At 56.0% G+C, this 18,733-nt stretch overlaps 1 protein-coding gene and 1 non-coding gene across 2 annotated transcripts in view, besides 4 other annotated features; one reads left to right on the forward strand and one right to left on the reverse strand.

Moving 5' to 3' along the window:
• STARD10 (StAR related lipid transfer domain containing 10) overlaps positions 1-18,733 on the reverse strand; it is a 39,319-nt gene that overhangs the window by 11,535 nt on the left and 9,051 nt on the right. Inside the window, exon 2 of the mRNA NM_006645.3 lies at positions 14,712-15,031. Within this exon, the coding sequence (NP_006636.2) occupies positions 14,712-14,918 (207 nt within the window). The 5' untranslated portion in view covers positions 14,919-15,031. The remainder of the gene's footprint in view (positions 1-14,711; positions 15,032-18,733) is intronic.
• Positions 8,501-9,000: an enhancer, noted in NCBI's record as "H3K4me1 hESC enhancer chr11:72485809-72486308 (GRCh37/hg19 assembly coordinates)". NCBI's record gives its function as "activates a minimal SCP1, AML or CMV promoter by ChIP-STARR-seq in primed H9 embryonic stem cells {active_cell/tissue: H9 hESC(primed)}" and the evidence as "EXISTENCE:reporter gene assay evidence [ECO:0000049][PMID:30033119]".
• Positions 15,208-15,387: a silencer, noted in NCBI's record as "silent region_3727". NCBI's record gives its function as "represses an Ori minimal core promoter by ATAC-STARR-seq in GM12878 lymphoblastoid cells {active_cell/tissue: GM12878}" and the evidence as "EXISTENCE:reporter gene assay evidence [ECO:0000049][PMID:35858748]".
• Positions 15,608-15,727: a silencer, noted in NCBI's record as "silent region_3728". NCBI's record gives its function as "represses an Ori minimal core promoter by ATAC-STARR-seq in GM12878 lymphoblastoid cells {active_cell/tissue: GM12878}" and the evidence as "EXISTENCE:reporter gene assay evidence [ECO:0000049][PMID:35858748]".
• Positions 16,076-16,778: an enhancer, noted in NCBI's record as "H3K4me1 hESC enhancer chr11:72493384-72494086 (GRCh37/hg19 assembly coordinates)". NCBI's record gives its function as "activates a minimal SCP1, AML or CMV promoter by ChIP-STARR-seq in naive H9 embryonic stem cells {active_cell/tissue: H9 hESC(naive)}" and the evidence as "EXISTENCE:reporter gene assay evidence [ECO:0000049][PMID:30033119]".
• Positions 17,267-17,329, forward strand: MIR4692 (microRNA 4692). Its single transcript, NR_039841.1, has one exon. It is a non-coding gene; the product is annotated as a microRNA 4692 (primary transcript).

Consider the following 18,733-nt stretch of genomic DNA (forward strand, 5'->3'; position numbering starts at 1 on the left):
CCTTTCACCATTCTCTGAAGCCTGCTGTGTGCCAGACCTGTGTGCAACTGTGTGGTGGGAGACCGGCGGTGAACCAGACCTGAGCCCTGCCCCAAAGAGGTTCCGCCAAGTAGAGTGGTAAGGGACAGGGACACAAAACCTCAAGATAGCACGAGCAGGGCTAGGAGAGGCGAATGCACATGAACTGCATGGTAGAGTGCACCTGAGCCCAAAAGGATAAGGCCCTGAGCCACTGAGGGGCAGGAAAGGGCATTTCAGCAGGGGGACGAGTGGTGCAAAGGCCTGGAGGCTTAAACAAACAAGTACAGTGCAGGGTCCAGTGCCCAAGCTGTATCTCACTCTACCCCCCACCTCTCTCCCGCCCCCTGACTGTGTTCTCTGGGATGTCTTGCCAGTGCTGAGCATTAGAGAAGGTGGACTCTCCACTCCAGGGAGGGGCAGCAGTCTCTCCCAAGACCCAGGGAGATGGTCGACCTGAGATGGGAAAGGAAGTCAGGTCCCCTCCATGGGGCCACGTCCTGGCCTTGAGAGCCAAAGGCCCAGGCAGTTACAAGCAGACACACACACAGACAGGTGGACCTAAGGCTAATCCTCCCTCCAAGACCTTACACAGCAGGACGCCAGTATCCTTGCCCATGGGATATGTGGGGCACACAGATTATCCCAAAGTCCTAGGGACCCAGGAAATGATCTCTTCACTCAGAACCCTTCAGGTGACCACTGGGGAAACCTGGCTTCAGTTGGGCTCTGAAATATCCCACAGGCTGTTCTAACTTCTCCATACATTGCATTTCAGCAGATAGTTTTGTGATGAGAGTAACTGTTAAGCAAATCACCCTTTCCCAACAGAACCATATTCAAATGAGAGGAAGAATTCCTGATGGGGTGGGGCACAAAGTATCAAATCAATCACAGCCCTGAACAACAGCCCCAACCTCCATAACCATTACCATTGCTCGAAATCACTGACCATTCAGCACCCCGCAAAGGAGACAGGGGCACCTGGACCATGGACCCCACAGGGGCTGAAATTTAGCTCAAACCACCTCTGCCAGCTGTCAAGGGCACAGAGCTGCATCCTTTGCAGATATTGCCTCTGACCCTTCCAACACCCCAGAAGGAAGCATCGCCCCCATTTTACAGATGCTGAAACTGAGGCCCAGGGAGGTACAATCCACACAGCTAACAGTAGTGAAGCAGAGAACCAGAGTCCAGGTGTGACTGACCCTACAGTGTCAGGACTTTCTGCTACCTTCACCAAGGGGCAGGACTGGCCCAGCTAAAACAAACACCCTGGCAACTGGAGGCTGCCTTAGTTGATGGTTATAATGCAGCACTTTGCTGACCAGGGAGGCAAAGCTCACAGATTCCTCCTCCAAACAAAGCTCCTGACCCAAGTTCCAGATTTTCCAGAACCCAGTGCTGGGGCTCCAAACCTGAAGCACCTGTCGCCTGCAGGCCCAGAGTTCATACAGCAGTGCTGGTCCATCTGTGTCAGACAGACCTCTGCCCTGCCATGTCCCAGCTGTGTGGCCTTGGCTTGGGCAAAGAACTCTGAGCCCCAACATCTCATCTGTCAAGCAGAGATAATCCTCTCCTCAGAGTGGTCCTGTAAGGATTAGATGAGATTGGTCCCTAAAACCCTTGGCAGTAGCTGCCCCTCCTCCAGCCCCAGGCCCCAGCAACTTTCCCTGATTTCTCAGGCCCTGCCCTGGGGGAACACCTCCCACTAACCCCCAAAGGACAGGACACACAAGGACAACAAGGAACAAAGTTTAAAATAACAAAAATGCCAAGATCCCTCCACAGCGTGAGTGCACAGCGAGGGGGTGGGCAGCTCTCTCACACCCCACACAGATGGCCCCTCTACCCTCACAGCCCACAGCCAGGCCCTGCCCTCACCATGCTGGACCAGGAGAGGAGGCTCTGAGAGATGCAAAGCCTGGCCCACAGTACACAGCAGGTCCGAGCCCCAGCGCCAGTGCCCCTCTGCTCTTTCTGCTCCTGCTTCTCCTCCCATGACCCACACACCAGCTGCTGGCTTCAGGGCCCTCCACTCTGCCCTTCCCTGAGGCCCCCACAAGGCAAGCATCAGGCCAAGCTGATGGAGCACCTGCCTCTTGCCTCTGGGTTTCTGGGGCCCCCAAAATGGAGACCACCAAGACCCTTCACTTTACACTCCCCCCGCCCCCCAAAAAAATCCCAAGAGCTGCGCCAGGGCACAGACCTGAGGGTTCAGGGGAAGAGGGGAAGGAGAGAGGTCTGCTCAGTGCTGTCATGAGGGGTGCTGAGGCACCTCCTCCTCCAGCACTGCCCAGAATGCTTTCCCAGGACTTCCTCTCACTAGCTCCCTTCCTATTATGTCTTCAATATGTCTTCAAACTTCAGACTGGCTGCCCCCTGTCCAGGCAGCCTGCCCTATCCCTAAACTCTCCAGTATGGGCTGGAGGCCACCTTTCCTTGTCTCCTAGACCCCCAGCAGCTCCCCCCTCAGCATGCGTTGTCATGCATTCATTTGCCTGCAATGCTGTGGCCCCTTGCTCATCTTGGCATCCTCCATGCCTTGCAGGGGGCCTGGCCTACAGCAGGCGCTCAATAAGGAGCTGTTCCTGAATGGAGGGATGGGCAGGTAAGCCAACAAAGAGGCTGAGCCTGTGTGGGTTTCTCTGACTTTTAGAATGCTGGAGCCCTGGTCCGTGGCCCTCAGTGCATCTGTATAATTCAGAAGGAGGTGCAGCCGTGAAAATCCCTGAACTCTTGTAGATCTCTATAACACAAGGACAACTACTATTACTACTTCCGCCATCATCCTCTTAAAAAGGGGTAAAGGGCTGGGGGGTGGAGGCATGAGGCGTCAGAAATACCAAGAGACAGGTTCAGGGGAGATTCTGGGACTTGCTTTAAGATCTTTAATAGTCCTGACAGTCAAAGAAAAGTAAAGTAAAATTGTACTGAGGTACCGATTTATGCTCAGTAAATTACCAAAAATATATAAAATACTCACTGCTTATGAGGTACTCACTGCTTATGAGGTACTCACTGCTTATGAAGGTATGGTAAAACTGTTACACAGTTAGTGGCAGCAAAAATTGGTTCCATTATTCTAGAAAATAATTTGGCAAATACTTTTTAAATCATAAGAATGATTTAAAAAGAAATTTCTCTTTCTTTCTTGGTCCACTGTGGTGATCACAGTTCACTGTCCCAGTAGCTGGGACTACAGGTGTGTGCCACCACGCCTGGCTAATTTTTGTATTTTTTGTAGAGATGGGGTTTTGTCATGTTGCCCAGGCTGGTCTCAAATTCCTGGGCTTAAGCGATCCTCCCACCTCAGCCTCTCAAAGTGCTGGGATTGCAGGTGTGAGCCACTGCACCCCACCAAAAATGTATTTTTCAATTCAGTTCCCAGAATCCCAGGACTACAAATTTGTACTCAGAAAAAAATATAAAATAAGAAAAAAAGTTATGTTACAATATTCATGAGTATATTATTGAATTTGCAATTAGCAAATTATACTGGAGAACCACCTGAACACTACCAGCAGCAGCCCCAGTTCGGGTAAGAGTGACATCACCCTAATGATGACGCACATCACAGAGGGTGGAGGGTTCCCCCGAGCAGGGGTGGCCACTGAGCTAGCTCTGCACCTTCAGAACCCAGACAGGCCTATAGGGAACAGCTGCCAGAAATGTTCCTGCATTAATAATTCTGTAGCAATATGAGAAACTTCTACAGAGCAAGATTAAATAAACAAAACAGGATACAAACTAGTACCCGTGACATGGTTTAAACTATGAACAAACTCTACACCTTTGAATGAGAGCTGGAAGGAACCAAGAAAAAGTTCTACTCAGGGAACTGAGGCTCCGGATGATTTATCTTTATTTTTCTTTTTTGGATTCTCATTACTGGTGCTACAGTATCATTTATACAAGAGATAAAAATCACTTTTTTAAAAGAATTATTTTTTTTGAGACAGAGTTTGGCTCTGTCGCCCAGGCTGGAGTGCAGTGGCACTATCTTGGCTCACTGCAACCTCTGCCTCCCAGGCTCAAGGATTCTCGTACCTCAGCCACCTGAGTAGCTGGGATTACAGGTGTGTGCCATCGCGCCCGGCTAATTTTTGTATTTTTAGTAGAGATGGGGTTTCGCCATGTTGGCCAGAATGGTCTCAAACTCCTGGCCTCAAGTGATCCACCCATCTCAGCCTCTCAAAGTGTTAGGATTACAGGCGTGAGCCACCACACCCAGCCTTACTTTTTTTCTTCCTAATTAAATGCATTGCCCAGAACCCCAACTCCTTACTCCCTGGACCTGAAAGCTGGGACTCAGCTGAGTTGGGGCCTGAGACTACCCATCTGATGCTGAGTTAACCTGGGAACACTCTGCGTTGTCTGGCAGGGCTTGCAGGCACAGACAATGACAACTCTTTAGGTTCAAGGAAGGCACAAAGGGAAGCCAGAAATGCAGGTAGAGGGAGGGACATCTAAGCTGGATCCTAAAAGATGACCAGGAGAGGAGACGGCACCCAGATGAAAGGGAGGGGGAAGGGGCTCCCGGCAGAGGTGATGGCCTGAGAACTAGAAACGGCATGGACTGGTTGGGGGAAGGAGAAGGATCAATGCAGTGCCACAAGGTAACCCAGGTGAACAAGCACAAAAGTGGGAAATGGAGCTGTCCTTTAGGGACCTGTTCATTCATTCATCCATTCTCAGCAAATGTGGATGGTGTGTGGCTCTGTGCCAGGCTCTGTGCTAAGAGGTTGGTATAATAAATTCACTGAATTCTATCCTCTCAACTATCTGGGAGGAGGGACAATTATACTCATTGGTAAATGGTGGCTCAGAAAAGTGAAGTGGAGGAACCAGGTTGGAACCCCCAGCGTGATCCAAAGTCCATCCCTGAGACTATTCCCTCAGAACTAGGCTCTGTTCTGTGTAGGACCCAAGGAATCAGGTGGGCCAGCACCTGGCCAGAGGAGGACAATCCCTGACAAGTCCATGCTGGGAGCTAGGGCTTTTGAGGGTGTGTGTGGAGTTCAGGGGATGTTGGGGCTGGCTTGCCTAGAGCTGGCATGGGGGTTGGAAGGACACAGAGCACAGTGGTGTGGGCCCAATGCAGGGTCTCCTTGCCCCATCTTTGGACTCAGTATTCCCACCTGCAAAATGACCAGGCAATCCCTATGGCCCTCTCCTGTGAAGTGAAGGGGATCTGGCAGCAGCTACCTCCAACTCATCTTCTTCCCAAAAGTGGAACCCCTGAGACTGTAGTGGAGAGTAGAGATGTTACCATGTCTCACCCAGACAGAGCTCCCTGAGCAGACTGAGCTAGGCCTTCTCCGCCGCTCTCCATGCAGGGCTGAGTGACTCATCCCTGCTCTGCCTCTTTCCCCCTTCCCTCCCTGGTCCCCAGCAGCCTCCCTGGACCTCCACCCCCACCTCCACCTCCAGGCTCCAGAGCAGCAGGCCCAGCTCTGCAGCAGTGATGAACGTTGCAGAGGCTGGCCTCCTGCCCTGTACCTCTCCACTTCTATCCTGGGGGGGCGAGGGGGAGCCAGACAGAGAAGGGAGAGCTGAGAAAGGGAGGCAGAGAGTGGAGGACCTAGAAGAAAAGGGAAGGGGTAGGGGATGCCAGTGGGACAACACAGAGGCCAGGGCTGACTTCAGACATCAAGACAGGCAAACACAAAGAGGCAAAAAGCCTCCCAGGGCTTCCGGGATCACCAGTGGACTGACGCCCCCAGAGCTCTCCAGTAAAGTTCCAGGCTTCATCCCCAACAGCCCCCAGAGCACCACACCCTGGGCAGCCCACGGATGTCTCCCGCTCCCCATGCTTAGCGCTGCCATAGCAGTCACGGTTCTCCCTGTGCCTGGCACTGCCATAGTGGGCATGGTTCTCCCTGTGCCCGGTGCTGCCATAGGGGGCATGGTTCTCCCTGTGCACAGCGCTGCCATAGCCATAGTGGGCATGGCTCCCCTGTGCCCGGTGCTGCCATAGTGGGCACGGTTCTCCCTGTGCCCGGTGCTGCCATAGTGGGCATGGCTCTCCCTGTGCCCAGTGCTGCCATAGCCACAGTGGGCACGGTTCTCCCTGTGCCTGGCGCTGCCATAGGGGGCATGGTTCTCCCTGTGCCCAGCGTTGTCATAGTGGGCATGGCTCTGGACTTGTCCCTTATGCTCTTACTCTCAACCTCTAGCCAACTCTGCCCGTTGGATTCCACTCGGCCACAACCTTCCCAGCAGCCCCTCTTCACTGCCCAGACAGGCCTCACCATCCTTACTTGGACCCCTGTAGCCACATCCTCTTCTCTGTCCTCTGTGGCCAGGGAGCTTTTTAAAACCCAGAGCTGGTAATGGCTCTTCCCAGCCTGAAAGCTTCTGCTGTCTGTCTGTCTGTCTATCTCTCTCTCTCTCTTTCTCTGCCATCAGGATAAAATCTAAACTCCAAAATGTCCTCCCCACCCTGGTTCTGCCTCTTCTTTTCCTCACTGTTATCCCTGAACCCCTGCCACAGGGGAGCCTACCTCCCTGACCAACTCACCAAGACTTTCTCAGCTTGTTGCTTTATCCTGCTGGTCCCCTGAGGCCCCATCCAAACACCAGCTCCTGGAGAAGCCCCTGTACCGTCCCCCAACCATGCTGCCAGTCATATACTCACTCAGCCTGAGTATATGTCTCTGTCCCCACACTGCTCACAAAAGGCTGTCACTGTCTCCATGTGTCTCCCCATGAGGCCTTGAGTCTCTTAAGAGCAGGACCCAGGTCTGATATCTCCAGGTGGCTGGCAGGATGGGTGGGAGGCATGAGAAGAGGTTTGTTGAATGAATAAACAACCGGGACAGGAACAACATGACCAGTATAAATATTAAGGACAGAGTAACCTTAAGACACAGGAACAAAGTCACCAGTAGAGACATTAAGGACACAGCCAGTAACCATTAAGGGACAGGGGAACAGAGATGGATAGAAAACACACCCCAAAGGGAAGACCTTGAGACCCAGAGACAGGCTTGAGGTGGCTGCACCCCTCTTGGTACCTCCCTCTATCCCCTCTGGCATGCTTGGACTGGCCTTGATGCCCTGGGGCCCCTGGAGGCAGGACAGGGGGCTTCAGAAGGGGAAACCACAGCACAGTCAGAGCTGAGCCAGGGGCGGGAGCTGCCAGGAGACAGCTGAGGAGACATAATTGGATCACAGACAACTCTGCTTCTGCAGTGAGGGGGTGTGACTCACACACACAGAGTAACGCCAGACACAGAAACACACACAGAGTCTCACTCACAGGCACAGGCGCACATACCTTCAACACAGATTGACTGACCCTGTCAGGCCCCTGTCCCGGGGCTGTCACGTGGGTAGGAAGGGGGGAGATGGGAAACCCAGCACCTGCCCCTGAGGAGCTCAGTGTCTGCCAGACTAAGGGCCACATCACACACACAGTCACCCACAATTCAGCTCCACACACGAAGGCCCCAACAGAATCCTCAATCCCTATCACGTTATCTCGTCCTTATGCACAACCATCATCTGGTGTCTTATTTAGTTGTTTGCTTCTATTTTGCTCGTCACCCGTTCAGGATGTAAAACCCATGACAGCAGGGTCTGATCTGTGTGGTTTGCCCCTAAATTCCTAGATATGACACAATCCTTGGAACATAGTATGTCCTCAATAAACATACTGAAGCAATGAATGAATGCATGCATGTATGCAAGTGGAGACACACAAGGGAACTCCATCCTTCTGGCTATCAGGCCTCTACCTCAAGACTCATCACCTCTCTGGCAAAGTACCAGGCCCCAGCCACTCTGGCAGGGTCCAAAGACGGCAGGCAGGGGCAGGAGATGGTGGAGGGGATCTCAGGAAGCCGGGGGAGATGGAGGTGGTAACAAAACCCAAGGATGAGTAAATGGCTCAGGCACCAAAGGGGAGAGCAGAGGTGGCAGTCACCCCCTACTTCCCATTAGGCAGCAGGAGGCAGTATATATGTGCAGACATTGCTCACTGACCCCAGGACATAGGATTCCAGAGAAGCATCAGAGGTGGCAAGTACCTGCCTTCAGGGAGCCCAGGCTGAGGGGCAGGAAGGCAATGGTTATGCTAAAGCCCCAGAGAACAGCTCCAGCTGCCCTGTGCCACCTGCCCCGTGCCACCTGCCCCAGGCTCTCTTTAAAGACAGGTGAAAGGAATCTACTGTGATTGGCATGGTACCCTCTGCTGCCCATACTTTTGAGTCTCCAGGGGCCCCAGGGCATCAAGGCCAGTCCAAGCATGCCAGAGGGGATGAAGGGAGGCACCAGGAGGGGTGGGGCTGTCTCAAGCCCAACACGTAGTCTGAGCTGCTTTCCCCAACCTGTTGCCAGAGCACCACCATCTGCCCAGTCAGGGGCAAAGGTGAGGGATCGGGGCTGAAATAAGGTTTCTATCCCCATCTATCCTCAGTGGCAACCAGGCACCCAGGCCAGGTCTCCTGCTCCTCGGGAACAAACTGGAACAGCCCCGCAGAGGCCCCGGAGCCCCACAGAGCACAGGCCTCTGGGGTCACGGCATCCACAGCCCTGGCTCCAAGTGGCCCAGCCAGGCATGGAGATGCAGGGGAAGAAAGAAAACCCATCTGTCTCCAGGACTCCCTTTCTCTCATCTCCTGAAACTTTAAAGACTCTCGGCTGGAAACTGAGCTGGGGCTCGTTAAAGTTTAAAAGCGGGAGCCTGGGCAGCTGGGTGTGGAGGGCACAGAGCCAGCCTGGGGGCTGAGGGCTTCTCTAGTCCCAGCAGGGACACAGCCTGGAGGCACCCTCCACTCCACTCTGGCTCATAAGGGTTCCTTGGCCTGCTTAGGATGCAGGCCCCATCCATGTACAGGATGGCTGTACATCCATGCCGTCCTGCATCCCAGCCTGCACAACACTTCACAGTGCGCACATCGCAAAGAGTTATGCTATAACCATCATATCCCGTCCATGATCATGCCTAAGGCTCTCTGGATTCCATCCCTTGCTCCATTCCCCACAACCTGGCTTTAAGGTGGGCCTTGGCACCTCTGCCCAGACAAATACAGCAGCAGCGCCCTCTTACCAGTCTCCCTGTCTAAAACCTTCCCCTGGCACCCCAGAGCCTCTAAGACTCAAGGCGTGGGGCCTCGGTCTAGCTCTCTAATCACCTCCAGCCCCCTGAGTTCTGAGCCTGCACTGAACCACCTCCCATTCTCCAAATGTACTACCCTGTGATCCACCTCTGGGCCTTTGCACAGCTGCTGCTCTGTATGGAATGCTCCCGACACGATCAAACTTGTAATCTTCATTCCCCACCCAAAAGGATCACCTGAACATTCCTCCTCCGTGGAGTTCCTTCCCTGACCCCCAAGGCTGATTCAGATGCCCTCTCTGGATTTCCAGAGCTCCTGTGACAAGTGTGTGTCTCAGCACCCAGCTGGAGGCTCCTTGAGGGCAGGGCTTGGATCTGATTGCCCTCTCCATCCCCCACCTCCAGCACAGGGCCAAGCAGAAAGAGGGTAATGATGGATGCTTGCTGAATGTGTGAATGAATGAAGTCTCTGAAGACAGGCAGGGCAGATAAGGAAGCTGAGTCCCAGGCAGAGAACTTGCCCAGGGCCACACAGCGAGGACTCTGGATCCTGGTGTTCTTTCCCCAACATCCTCAACCCAAACCAGGCACCTCCTCCAGGAAGACTTCCCTAACACCTCCAGCCACCTCTGATCTTTCCCTTGTCTGAGCTCCTCCAACCCAAAGTCTAGACACTGACTACCTGGGGTCATGCTCTCTGGGAGCCTGTTCCCCAAGGACAGCTCTGGAACTACTTCTTCCAGGTCCCCCCATGCCAAGTCAGAGCTGGAACCAGGCAGCTCAGGGCCTAACCCTGGATTCTGGATCCCCTTCTAGGGACCTCTCTGATGGCATAGACTGGCAAGACCTTAGCCACCATCCTCACTCTGTGTCCAGCAGGGCAGCCTCCCCTACGCTGGCCTAAGGTTAGGACAGCCTCTACAGACCACCTGCCCAGCAACTTCCTGTATGGGGAAACTGTGCCCCACAGCAGGCAGAGCCAAGCTAGAGCCTGAACTGACCCAGTCCAAGGCCCTAAAACTAGATGAAGTCATGCGCCTGCCACCGCCGATAAGAAGACTGACCCAGAAAGGTGAAATGACCCCCAAAGTCACATAGTGAGGACTGGACTCTTGCCCAGCTGGGTCTCCTCTAAGGTGCCCTCCCACAATGACACAGCACAGGGAGACCCACGGGCCCAATCATGTTAATAACCCAGCCCAAGGGAGTGGCGAGATCTCAGCCTTGGCGAGTCAAGGACCTAGGTCCTGATCTAGCTTCAGCCATGTCCGGCTGTTTGGCTGTGCACAAGTGAATTCCTGCTCTGAGCCTCAGTTTCCACATCTGCTTGATGGGATTAAGGAGACCTGTCCCACACGTGGCCCTGACCTTCCCCATGACCCTTTTAAGTCCCAGAGACTAGTAAGAGTGGGAAGGGCCTTGGAGACCCCTGAGCCATCTGGCATTTCATAGGGTGAGAGGGTGAGGTGCTGAGGGGTCATGAGCTGAGCACTGGCTTTGGTGTCTGGAACCCAGGTGGCCTGTGGTGTGGGGTAGGTGGACAGTGAGACAGGGCTGGGAGGGGCCGCCTGAGCTTTTCCCAAAGGGGAAGGGGAGGAGCAGCAGGACAGGAAGTCAGAGGAGACAGGTCCCCACTGCCCAGCTTCCTGTGGCCAGCAGAGCCTCAGGCTCTCAGCCACACCCCCTCCCACACCTGCTCCAGGGCCAGGTCTCTCCTGTCATGGGCTCAGGCTCTTATCAGGCCTCATTCCTGCCCCAAGGCTGCCTGTGCAGTGGGTAGGAGGTCACCTGGAACTGTCTGTCCTCTCTCCACCAGGGTCTGAAGACCTCTGAGGAGATACGCAGGTCTCCCCTGCCTCTCATGCGGCCAGCCTCAGGAGAACAGAGCACGTGAGCATCCAGGCCAGGGCCTCACAGGCCACGTCCTCTGCTGTCTGCCTGCTCCTCATCTCTCCCCAGCTGGGTGCTGAGTTCAGAGGCTCTTGGAGCCAAGAGGGCCCAATGGCACAGACGGGCAAGCAGCCCAGAGAGGGGCAGGAATGTGCCCAAGGTCACATGCAACAGCCAGGACTGGACCCCAGCTGGCCCTGGTTGAATGACTGACAGAAGCTCTTGGTCTCCCGTTTCTCACACCAATACAGGTGCCATGAGGAAGCTGACCTGGGCTTTGAGAGACCTGAGTTCAGGCTCCAAGCTGCCCCCTGCCTTGTACCCAGGATCCACATTCAGCATCTGTCCCTGGGACAGGGACTGAACTGTCAGGAGGTAGTGTCTGTCTCTTTTCCAGTATTCAGAGCACAGTGCAGCCCTGGGGCCAGGTCAGGCTGGAGGCCAGGAGGGAGGGAAGGGGTGGAGGTGGCCTCCAACAGCCCCTTTCTCTTTGTCCTGGCTCCAACTACTGGGCCTTGAGCCACAGTGGCTTCCAGGGACCTCTGGACCCAGGTAAGGGGAAGAGAGATGAGGAAGAGGAATTGAATCAGGTAGATAGCTAGGTGGAGTCCCACCCCCACCCTGGGATCAGGAGCACGGGGCATGTCCAGGGGTCAGCTGGCTTTCCCAGCTCTGGGGACAGGCCCAGAGCAGGCTGAGGCAGGAGAGGGGAGGGGGAAAGGGGGGCAGAAGCTCAGCAAACACCTGCAGTTGAGTCCCAGCCTCCTGGAGTGACCCAGTCATCCCCAGGGATTCTGGCTCCAGACCTGCTGGGTGACCTTGGCAAGCCACTCCCCTTTGTGGGCCTCGGCTTTCTCATCCATCAAACAAGAATAGGATGATGAGAACAACGCGTCCTCCAGGCCTTCAAAGAGTTATTGATGGGGTTAAAGGCCACAGTGTTGACTAAGATGCGAGCCCATGTGGAGAGGGGCAGGGGCTCTGGAGCCAGGCTGGCATGGGTTCCACTCTTGCCTCAGCTGTGGCATGACCTTAGGCAAATAACATTACCTCACTCAGCCTCAGTTTCTTTGTTTGTAACACAGAGACAAGACTACACTGCCCCAGACTAGCCTCGGGGTAAATTAGATGATGGGGAGAAATGCTTGGCTCAGAGCAGGGCTCTCATTATCAGAAATGGGATTATCTGCATGGAACCTGGGAGTCCTGCAATCTTGGGGATGGGAAGCTCACAGGCCTCTGTCCATCTCTCCCAGAGCTCCAACTAGCTGTGCTGAGAGGATCAGGAGTGGGAGCTGGCACCTTGGGGTGCCCATAACCAGGGTCCCAGCCTCCTTCCTGGGTCTGGGCTCTGCTCACCTCCTCTCCCCACCCTCTCTCCATTGTAGGGAGCAAAGCTGGGGAGGCACCCTGCAGGGAGAAGCAAGGCAGGAGGACTGCCAAGATGCTGTAGATCTGGGTTCCAGACCCAGCTCTGCTGAGACAGCTGTGTGACTCTAGGCAGGTCCCTGCCCCTCTCTGAGCCCCAGTATCCTTGCCTGCATCCCAGGGGCAGGAGGGGTATGACATAGGGATTACCAAGGGCTCTTTGGCACCTCCAACATCTGTTCAGTCTGAAAGAAAAGGAGGGTAGGGTCCTGGCTGCCCAGGGTGTATGCCTGTCCAGAAGCCTACAACACCCCAGTTTTTCCAAGTCCCCGCCACCCACAAGGAAGGCCACCTGACAAGTCTGATCTGGCCACGAGTGGTCTGTTGCAGTCAGCCTGGCCCCAGACCCACCAATTCCAGGCCTGGGCTGGGTAGGGTTTATTCATTAACCAAGCCAGATGGAGGAGGTAGCTCCGCCCTATTGACACAGAGGGTGGGAGTACTGGCCTCAGTTCAGACCCCTCCTCCTCTGACTTTCTGGAGTGCCAGCTTGGTGGGGAAACTACACTTCTCCCCCAGTGTGCACTGCCCGCCTGAAGCCTTTCCCAGGTCACAGTCAGGCTCTCGTGAATTCCCTTCTCACCTTTCATTCAATTTGTTCCTTGGTTCTTTCCTCCCCCCTCTCTTCCACCAATATCCCTGCTCTAACTGTGTTGGATGCTGGGGACGCAAAGAGGACAGGACCTGAGAGGCTGAAGCGGGTGGATCACTTGAGGTCAGGAGTTCAAGACCAGCCTGGCCAATGTGGTGAAACCCTATCTCTACTACAAATACAAAAATTAGCTGAGTGTGGTGGTGTGCACCAGCAGTCCCAGCTACTGCTGGGAGGCAGGAGAATCACTTGAACCTGGGAGGTGGAGATTGCAGTGAGCTAAGATCTCGCTACTACACTTCAGCCTGAGAGACAGAGTGAGGCTTCTCAAAAAAAAAAGAAAAAAGGATAGGAGACCTGTCCCTGCTCTCAGGGAACAACCAGCTGGGACATGCCAGCTGCCTTCCCCATCCCTGCTCCTCAGGCTCAGACACAGGTTCTGAGGCCCTGGGCAGCGAATCCCAAAGTGGGAGACACACATGGAAACCCAGAGGGAAAAACAGTCAGATGGCCAAGGTGCAGACAGAGTCAGAGGGGAGAAGGGGAGGCAGAAAGTGAAAAGCAGATAATCGTGTGGGGATGGACAGAACTATATGTAAATGATTAAGACAAAGTGAGGCAGAAGGGCTCAGGGTCAGAGGGGAAAGGTCAGACATCTCAGGTCTTGGTAAGGGGCCAAGATACATGCCTGAACTAAGTCTGAGACTAGGTCCCAGGCAGAAGGGGAGGGTGGACTCCTCCACATTTCCAGGAGGATAGCAGAAGGGAGAAGGCAAGGAAGAGGAAGGCGAAGGGCACAGCCTATTGCCAGAGCCCATTGCAAGGGGACCTACCAGCCCTGGAAATGCAGCACCCACAGCAACATCAGATGTGTTGGGGGCAGCTATTGAGGCCCTTAAACCAGAGTCTTCACGAGCCCCTGCCCCATCTGGTCCCCTGGGGGATATGCGTTCCCAGGGTCCCAAACCCCAAGCCTGCCCTGCACGGCAAAGAGAGGAGAATTGTGGGGTTGGGAAGAGCAGGGGAGATGGCTGTGAGCGACTGATGTGTCTGCAACTGCTCCCTATGTTGGCTTCCCTTGACCCCAGGCCCCTTCCTTCCCCAGCCCACCTGTAGCCTGGCTCTGTGCAAGGCAGGGGTATTGGAGCCCTGCCTTCAGGATCTGCCAGCCACAATCCTGAGTCCCTGCAGGAGGCTAAGGGAGCAGCCAGGGAGGGAGGGAAGGGAAAGAGCAAGAGCAGGGCATCGGGCAGTAAGGAATCGGGTCCTGGGCAACCCAGGGTGCAGAAAGCGGGGAAGGAGACCCAGCTCAGGCTGAGAACCAGGAATCAGGGAGAGAAGGGCCCAGTCTCCCACCTGGAGTAACTCAAGTCAGGAACCAGGTGCAGGCTTCCCCAGCAGAGGGGTCCCTGAGGGAGACCACTCTCCTAGAAGGGCCTGGCAGCAGCCCAGATCCCTGGAACAGGCAGGGGCATGCAGAAGCCTGGGTTCCAGCTGAGAGAGGCAGGGTGAGTCACTCCTGCTCTCCAGGCCTCGGTTGGCCCATCTGTGTGATGGGGCTTGGCCCAGCAGACTGTGTCTCCTCCCGGTCCCTGGAAGGAGACTCTCTCTGGGCCCAGATATACAGCCAGGTGTCTAGCCCGGAGAGAGGACCAGGAGACTCCGGGAGAGAGGCAGTAAGGGTGCAGTGGAGGCTGCAGGTATAGCGGGCAACCCTACCTTGATCTTGTGCAGCGTCCGATCCATCTCCACAGCCTGCACCCAGACAGACACCCCAGCCCTGCTATAGGTCAGGTTCCAGCCCACCTCAGCCTCACACTCTGACCGGAAGCTGCGAAAGTCTTGGTCATCGGGCACCTGGACACTCTCACGGCCCAGGACCGGCCGAGGCCCTTGGGGCTCTGTAGAGGCCGCCAGCTTCTCCATGGGGAGTGTGGGGAGGCCCAGGGCCCTGGTCCTAGTCCGGCTCTCCTGGGTCCTCCGCGGAGGCTCCGACAACGTCGACGCGGCTGCAGATGCTGACGCCACCTTCCTGGGACCTGCAAGACCGGTTTGGGGACGGGAATCAGTGCGCTGGGGGCGCGGGTGGGGCTGTTCGGGGTCCTGGCGGGTGGGGAGCTGGAGAGAGGTAGGGGCTGGCCCCAGGGAAGGGCGGACGGGCGCTGGACAGCCTCGGGGTCCCCCTCCCGAGGAGCGCCCCAGACCCCCTGGGGCCGGCGTGGGGACTGCGTATGGGACGCGGTGGCCGGCGGGCGCCCGTCGGGACCCAGGGACTGGCCGGGACCCGAGGGGAGGGACGGTGCGGCGGGGCCCGCGGAGCGACCTGCTCAACTAACTCGCAGCGACGCCGGGCGGGCGCGGGGCGGGTGGCGGGGCAGGAGGGGCGCCCTCCAGGCCGGGCTGCTCACCTTTGCCCGCCGCTCCGCCGGGGCCCGCCGGGGCCGGGGTGCCAGCGCCGCCGCCGCAGCTGCCCGGGAGACCCGGGGCCGCGCGGGGGCTCTGGTGGGAGGAGCAGTGGGTCCCGCCGCCCGGCCCCGCCCCGGGCCCCAGCCCCGCGCGCCCCTCCCGGCTAGGCTGGGGGCTCGGGGGCTCGGGGGCTCGGCGGCCGCGGCTCGGGATTTTCCAGGCTGCGGAGGTGAAGCTGACGGATCTCCGAGCCCCGCCCCGCCCCACCCCGCAGGGTCCTAGCGCCCGCCCCCGCCGGCCCTGGGAGGGGACCCTGCGCGCGAGGGGCAAGTCCCCAGCGGGGACAGGGAAAGGGGTGAGGAGATGCCAAGACAGAGTGGGCTCTGCGAGGAAGGGCCACGAGGTGCAAGAAGAGGAATTCTGGAAGTTAACGGTGAACCCCTTCTCTCCACCACCTCCCATACTCACAGGTACACACCTCTGCAACAACCTACAGTATTTACACACAGGCACGCTGTCCCCAGAACAACCCAGAGACGCCCCCATGCAATACCCCAGAGATCCAAAGATGGGCACACACCCCCATGACAATCAAGAGACTAACTCGCAGGGATGACAGCCCCACAGCAGCTCAGAGATGCCCACAGCTTGCATCCCCCACCAAGCTAGAGGCACACCAAGCCTACACACACCCAACCCCATTCCCACTGGGCTGTGCAAACCCAGCAGGAAGCCGATCCAACCCACAAGGCTCAAGGTTCACAAGCTGGCCAGATGTGGGCAAAATCTCCACCCCAGTCTCACTCCTACCTGGGAGCTTGAACCGGGACTCCCTCCAGCCCCACACTCTGGCCCTTGTCCACCAGCACCCCTTCTCAGCATGCACACAACGCGCGTGTACACACACACACACATGCACGCACACACGCACACCTGCTATGGACTAGACTAGGCTCTCAAGAGCATCTGGCCCAGGGCTCTGGGCTCTCTTACCTCCCCAGGCAGAGTTGGCCAGAGCTCCATAGCTACCTGCACCAGCGCTCCTGCCATCCCTTCCAGCCAGGGAGGCTCCCCCCTGCCCCCTGGGTCCTAGTGCCAGCTCTTCCTCCATCTGCTCTGTGTGAACTGAGGCCAGTAGCTCAACTTCTCTGAGGCCAGGCCAGGGTGAGTGTGGCAGTCTGTCGCAGTGACTGTGGTGAGCTCCTCTGGATGAGCAACTAACAGGGCCCAACAAGAACCTGCCACGGTCATCCTGACCAGCACGCAGATCTCAGCCTCCTCCCACCTCCGTTCCTGTCTGTGCCCCGCTGCCTCCTCCTCTCTGGTCCTTAGTTTTCCATTTCCAGAAAAGGGAATCAGAATGGATAACCCTAAGGTGCCTCCTAGCCTCACCAGCCTAGAGCTCTAGGGTGGAACAGATTTTCTTAAATGTGCTAAGAAAAAAACGAGGAGTCGAGGATTTGTCACGGTGCTTCACAAATAGAGGTGTTTCTTCCTGAAGTGCTTAAAGCACTGAGATGTTTGTAAATTAGGCCACATTTTAAAAATGAGTGGGGGTGAGCGGGGAGCTATGATGGCAAGTGACCCTAAAGGGCATCCTGCAAAGTGAATCCTGGACAATGTGCTGCAGGTCCTCATGAGGCCTGTGTGAATGACCTTAGATCTCCAGGCCTTCCATCTGCAGTGTGGGAGGCACAGTCAGATAATCACCCCATCCCTTCTAAACCACACTCCTGAAAAGTGTCTGGGAATGAGTAGGTGGCAGGGGGCTGGCTCTGGGCTCAGGATGCCCAGGCTCTGATTCTCTGCTATCTACCTCCTCTGCCTCTAACTCTAGGCAGGTCACTGCCCCTCCCCAGGCCTCAGCAGTTTTACTTGATACCCACACTGCCTGGGTGGGACACTCAGGCAGTGTGGGTATCAGATAAAACCCAAAGGGGACCCCATTAGAGCCAAAGCCTGCTTTGCTTTGTGAACTGTATCCTCTTGGATCTGCCACGAGGAAAAGAGGTGGCAGCACTGGCCTGGTGGCTCCTGCCTTTTTAGGGCCCCAATAAAACACACCTCAGCAGATAGCAGGTACCAGGGCAGCAAACCTCTCATACCCACCATCCAGTCCAGGGTAAAAAAGACAAGGCCAGGAGGTAGCAGTGAGGGCAGACTGATAGAAGGACTTCCCCACCCTAGAGAGCTGCCAGAGAGATAAAAACTCAGAGAGGTGCAGATGGCAAGAATGAAACCATCACTCAGAGCCAAACACAGAAGAACCAAGAATCTTTTGGATCTTGGGTCAGTAAAGGTGGGCGACCTGGCAGGCAGCCAGGCCCTGGGCTCATCCCCTGGGTCCTAGGTTTAGGCCAGGCTACCTCGCCAGCAGGTGGGTAGAAGGGTATCACCTCATTCTACTCATCATTAATTTGCCCTTGCAAATGCCACCCCTCCCAGGAATTTCAGTATCTCTGGCTCTGGGTCTCATGAAAACCTCTCAAACGTGACAAAGCCCATTCATATCCTTCTCAAAACACCCCTAAGCAGCCGAGAAGGGCCCCATCTGCTCCAGAGCAGAAGAATGAGCCCAGGAGGGCTGGAGGGGCTCTGGGAGAGGAGTCTGGGGAGGACCCACAACCTAGCAGCACAAAGGGCCTGTGGAGCTGGGTTCAAATCCTGGCCCTCTGATTTCCTAGCTGTGTCACCAGAAGCCGGTGACAGGCCTTCTCTGAGCCCCAGTTTCCTCATCTGGAATAATAATACCTATCCTCTGAGAATTGTGGCAGGGAAAAGAGTTGTATATGTGCCAGTTTCACCCCCAGATAAGTAACTAAAAATATAACTGGTGGGGGTGACTGGGGCAGGGAGGAATACACTGTCCAAAAATGCATGGTTCCAACAAAAAGTGTTAAGGTAACATCTTTACATGATGGTTTGGCAAGTTTTGATTCTCATGGAAGATCAAACAATGGAAACAGCTTTGGCAAAGCATGACCCCTGCTCTGCCCACTGCAGTCCCCTGCCCCAGATATGGTCCCCTCCACAGGAAGTGAATTGAGATGTCTCTCTGAGCCCCGAGGCCAGAGTCCAGGTCTGGCTGCTCTCTGGGTCCCAGTTCCAGAATGGGGCATCACGGAGCAGGAGCCAGAGTGGGCATAGAAGGTGAGACTGTGTACGAGAAGGCGCTTGACAAACTGAGAAGCGGCGTGGGAATGTGAGGCATCATTACACAGGGCACTGGGCAGGCCTGGATCTCACACGTGCCCCTCGCAGACAGAGCAGCTGAGGTTGTGGGGGGCACGGGGCACCCCTGCATCACACAGCAAGTCAGAAGCCCTAAGGGGACT

The sequence above is a fragment of the Homo sapiens genome, chromosome 11 (assembly GCF_000001405.40).
Source record: "Homo sapiens chromosome 11, GRCh38.p14 Primary Assembly".
Classification (NCBI taxonomy): domain Eukaryota; kingdom Metazoa; phylum Chordata; class Mammalia; order Primates; family Hominidae; genus Homo; species Homo sapiens.